This window comes from Homo sapiens, chromosome 17 (assembly GCF_000001405.40).
Source record: "Homo sapiens chromosome 17, GRCh38.p14 Primary Assembly".
Classification (NCBI taxonomy): Eukaryota; Metazoa; Chordata; class Mammalia; order Primates; family Hominidae; genus Homo; species Homo sapiens.
Window position 1 is genome coordinate 41,236,111 of NC_000017.11, and position 5,370 is coordinate 41,241,480.

At 43.7% G+C, this 5,370-nt stretch overlaps 1 protein-coding gene across 1 annotated transcript; it reads left to right on the forward strand.

Moving 5' to 3' along the window:
* The first annotated feature begins 1,888 nt into the window (after window positions 1–1,888).
* On the forward strand, window positions 1,889–2,894 carry KRTAP9-8 (keratin associated protein 9-8). The gene has a single exon (NM_031963.3). The coding sequence runs from the start codon at window positions 1,942–1,944 to the stop codon at window positions 2,419–2,421; it is 480 nt and encodes a 159-aa protein (NP_114169.2). The 5' UTR covers window positions 1,889–1,941; the 3' UTR covers window positions 2,422–2,894.
* Window positions 2,895–5,370: the final 2,476 nt, after the last annotated feature.

A 5,370-nucleotide genomic window follows, 5' to 3' on the forward strand; every position in this document is an offset into this window, starting at 1 on the left:
AAATAATCTACACTTACTTCTGCTATAATACAGTGCACCTAAGTTTCATAAACTCCGTTAATTACCAAGAGTTCTATTCTCCCTTCACCCCTGGCCAGCACTCTTTTTGGTCTAGATAACTGCTGATAGAGTAGCTCAGAGCATCCTTCCTGAAGGGTCTGAGCCCCTGGTTACTATACCATTGTCCACCGTGATTGCTGTTTTTATTCATTTGTGGTTATCACTGGGCATGGACACACTATGAGATTCTGCAGTGTTATGGGTTCATTTGCGTCCCTCAAAATCCATATACAAATAGAACCATCTAAAATGTTATCTGATAAGACAAGGTCATATTGGAAACAATTAGGCCTCTGATTAAATATGACTGTGTCTATTCACAAGGGAGAAATTCAGAGACAGTATGGATATAATAGAAAAATTATGTCAAACACACTTGGAGATGATAGACTTCGACACGTCAGGGAGGGAGACCTGGAACAGATACTTCCCTCGCAGTCTTCAGATGAAAACAACATTGCCAACACCTTAATTTCAGAAAAGAGGCCTTCAGAACTTTGATAAATAAATTTAAGCCACTTTTTTTCAGTAATTCATCAGGGCAGTGCTAGTAAATTAATATACTCAGTAAATCTCCTGAGCTATAGATATATTCTGCTACACTATATGGCTTGAGGGTAATTATCCCTCACCAAATAGTAACTACTTTCTCTGTCTGCTGCTTTGCTTATATGAAGAGTCCAAAATGACTAGGCGATAAAGATTACTTTTGTTTATGCCAAAGAAATAGAGAAGCAAATACTATACTTTTTATTCACATGAAAATTTTAAAAAGCCAAAAGTTACCTACAGGATTACAACTGATAGAGTGATTAGCTGTCTTTGGGAAAGAGTAAGAGCATATAATTGGGAGAGAATGGAATTAATTTCTATTTCCTAACATAGATGTAATGGGACATAAATGTATTTACAATATAATACTATATCAAGTTGAAAATTAATAGTTTGCATTTTCTCAAATGAATGGTATACCTAGAAAATGTTTTAAACATGTTAGAACTCCATGATGAATCAGGCATCATCTCAACTCATCTAATTCCTTCATTAAAAAGAAATAGAGAGAGAAGACATGATGCTTACTGTGCTGGTAACTGGGTTGCAGCTAGAGCCAGAGCACATGCTGGTTGGCCTGAATCTCAAGCAGTTATGTCATAGAGAGTCCTACATTCTCGTCCTGGAATCGCCACACTCACAGACAAGTCAGAATGAATGGTCACTCAGGGCATAGTTTGCTTGATGTTGTCTAAATCCCAGTGAATTTCTCTGCATCCCCCTGCTCTCGATCTGCTCTGCCACATGGAACACACTGTGACAGACACCCTCTTCCCAAGTGACGTTCAAATAACGGAAAGGCACAGGTGGTGAGGGTGGTACAGAGAGATGCCTGTTAGTCTTGAGTCAGAATTTGGTGGGTGACTAGCCTTGGGCCCAGGCATGGATTCATTTTGTCACTGTAAATATATCAGCATCATGCTTCTCCCCACAGACACTTCCCAGTCTATATACAGCCAAACATGAGGCTGGCCAGAGAGCTTCCTGAGCCTCCCAGATCAACAGGAACTATCACATGACTAGATGATGGTCAGAATAGGAATGATGCTGATGATGAGACGGGCTTCCTTTTATCTCAAACAAAGTGTCTATGAGTAATTCACAATTAAGAAACAGATTAAACCTTAATCTGTTTAACCTTAAGGAAACAACTACCCTTTGAGAATCACAAACGGACTGTGGAAAACAAGATAAACAGCAACAAGGAAAAGTCCTGCTGATTGGTGGAAACTTTGGAGGCCAGGTGTATAAAAGGTCCAGAATGCAAGGGGTCATCAGATTCTGGGAAACTCACCTCTGAACAGAACTCCACCCTCTACCCCTGACACCATGACCCACTGTTGTTCCCCTTGCTGTCAGCCTACGTGCTGCAGGACCACCTGCTGGAAGCCCACCACTGTGACCACCTGCAGCAGCACACCCTGCTGCCAGCCCTCCTGCTGTGTGTCCAGCTGCTGCCAGCCTTGCTGCCGCCCAACTTGCTGTCAAAACACCTGCTGCCAGCCCATCTGTGTGACCAGCTGCTGCCAGCCTTCCTGCTGCAGCACACCCTGCTGTCAGCCCACCTGCTGTGGCCAAACCAGCTGTGGGTCCAGCTGTGGTCAGAGCAGCTCCTGTGCACCTGTGTACTGCAGAAGAACCTGCTACCACCCCACGACTGTCTGCCTGCCTGGTTGCCTAAACCAGAGCTGTGGCTCCAACTGCTGCCAGCCCTGCTGCCGCCCAGCCTGCTGTGAGACCACCTGCTGCAGGACCACTTGCTTCCAGCCCACCTGTGTGTCCAGCTGCTGCCAGCCTTCTTGCTGCTGATCACGTTCCAAGAGAACCACCATCCTCACACAACAAATTTCTGCTCAACTGACTCATCTTTTGGGGGACTAATTTAATTTGCTGCTGACAGCCACCATGCTCTCACCCAAATTTTTATGAATTCTCTACATGTTTAAAATCTTGGAAATCTGCTTGAGGGAGGGCAGAATACTTCATCCTGATTCTCTTTTTCCTTACACCTTGTGGATCATGTGCCAGCTTCATCTGTTCTCAAGTTTGAGTCATGGTCTCAGCTTTGACTCTAAAGTCAAGAGCTTCATTCCCTGCTTCTAAGGAATTTAGGTTTCTGCAACTGATCGATGATCTTTGCAATCTTTTTTTTGTTTTCAATATCCTCCTCATCGTTCTTGTATCCTTCTTTCTTCTTTTCATGATAAATTTGTGTTGTGTCCCTGGTAGCAGAAATCCTTACCTATATGTTTCTGAATAAATTCTGAACCATCCTCATCTCATATAGTGTTTTGTTTTATTTGAAAGCACTCCTGATATGGGATTTACACACATATCACATACCATAGTTATTATCCAATTTGATTCTCAAAACAGGTGGTCATGCATTATTACCTTCATTTTTCACCTGAAAAAAAATTAATATGTGATGTTATGTAGCTAATAAAGGACAGATTCTGATCCAAGCTGAGGTCCTCTCTTTCTGCCCAAGGACACTTACATTTAACTCTCAACATAGTAGAAATGACATTGGAAGTCAGCACTAGCAAGACATGCACTTGAGTTTATTTAACAATGAGAGGAATGATCTCTTATATTTGCAGATAACATTTTTGTTCACAAAAAAGTTTTCCCAAATAAGTTTCCCACACCTCAGTGAGCAACAGCTGCATGATATGGCAGCAGGGACTGCATTTAATGGCTGCCCTGAAAGCAGGGATCTCTTTTTGTCTCATCCTCTGACCAGTCATTCATTCAATTCATCTGCATCAAAAAATGCTTGAGAATTCATTGTGGACTCATGAGAGAGTCTCATCTGAAGGAACTTATTCTCGATATCATGTAAATAAAATTGTTATATGGCCTCCATCTCCTGAACACCTATTGACGAAGTAAATGAAACTAAGTTATTCCTTGTAAAACACAGACTGTACCTTATGCCACATTAAGAAAATTTGTCCCATAATTGAGACGTTATGAGGAAAATTAAGTAAGAACAAAGCTGGGAATTGAGAAAGTGTGCAATGGGCATGTAAGACTTGGCACAATCCATTATCTCTATGAGAAGGAAGGGAATGAAACAACCTTCTGCAGTTTTTGAGGATAATATGAACCATCTAAAGAAACGAAAAACTTGTGTTTTCAGGGAAATCAACATAATGTAAGAAAGGAGCAAAGTAGAACTTCTGCATTCATAGAAGTCATGATAGGGGGAAGTTCCAAGGTGGCTGAATGGGAACAGCTCCAGTCTACAGCTCCCAGCATGAGTGACGCAGAAGATGGTTGATTTCTGCATTTCCAACTGAGGTACCGGGTTCATCTCACTGGGGCTTGTTGGACAGTGGGTGCAGGACAGTGGGTGCAGCCCACTGAGCATGAGCCAAAGCAGGGCGAGGCATTGCCTCACCCAGGAATTGCAAGGAGTCGGGGGAAGCTGTGACAGATGGCACCTGGAAAACTGGGTCACTCACACCCTAATACTGCCCTTTTCCAATGGTCTTACAAACGGCACACCAGGAGATTATGTCCCGTGCCTGGCTCAGAGAGCCCACGCCCACAGAGCCTCTCTCATTGTTAGCACAGCAGTCTGAGATCGAACTGCAAGGTGGCAGTGAGGCTGGGGGAGGGGCGCCTGCCATGGCTGAGGCTTGAGTAGATAAAGTGGCCAGGAAGCTCGAACTGGGTGGAGCCCACCACAGCTCAAGGAGGCCTGCCTGCCACTGTAGACTCCACCTCTGGGGCAGGGCATAGCCAAACAAAAGGCAGCAGAAACCTCTGCAGACTTAAATGTCCCGTCTGACAGCTTTGAAGAGAGTAGTGGTTCTCCTAGCACACAGTTTGAGATCTGAGAACAGACAGACTGCCTCCTCAAGTGGGTCCCTGACCCCCAAGTAGCCTAACTGGGAGACACCCTCCAGTAGGGGCAGTCTGAGACCTCACATGGCCAGATACCCCTCTGAGATGAAGCTCCAGAGAAATGATCAGGCAGCAACATTTACTGTTCAGCAATATTCGCTGTTCTGCAGCCTCCGCTGCCGATACCCAGGCAAACAGGGTCTGGAGTGGACCTTCAGCAAACTCCAACAGACCTGCAGCTGAGGGTCCTGACTGTTAGAAGGAAAACTAACAAACAGAAAGGACATCCACACCAAAACCCCATCTGTATGTCACCATCATCAAAGACCAAAGGTAGATAAAATCACAAAGATGGGGAGAAACAGAGCAGAAAAGCTGAAAATTCTAAAAATCAGGTGCCTCTCACCTTCCAGAGGAGCACAGCTCCTTGCCAGCAACGGAACAAAGCTGGATGGAGAATGACTTTGATGAGTTGAGAGAAGAAGGCTTCAGATGAACAAACTTCTCCAAGCTAAAAGAGGAAGTTCGAACCCATTGCAAAGAAGCTAAAAACCTTGAAAAAAGATTAGACAAATGGCTAACTAAAATAACCAGTGTAGAGAAGTCCTTAAATGACCTGATGGAGCTGAAAACCATGGCATGAGAACTACGTGACGAATGCACAAGCTTCAGTAGCAAATTCAATCAACTGGAAGAAAGGGTATCAGTGATTGAAGATCACAGGAATGAAATGAAGAGAGAAGAGAAGTTTAGAGAAAAAAGAGTAAAAAGAAAGGAACAAAGCCTCCAAGAAATATGGGACTATCTGAAAAGACCAAATCTACATCTGATTGGTGTACCTGAAAGTGACGGGGAGAATGAAACCGAGTTGGAAAACACTCTGCAGGATATTATCGAGGAGAA

Bases quoted from the DNA above. Each gene is read 5' to 3' on its own strand.
- KRTAP9-8 (NM_031963.3), top strand. From the start codon at position 1,942: ATGACCCACTGTTGTTCCCCTTGCTGTCAGCCTACGTGCTGCAGGACC.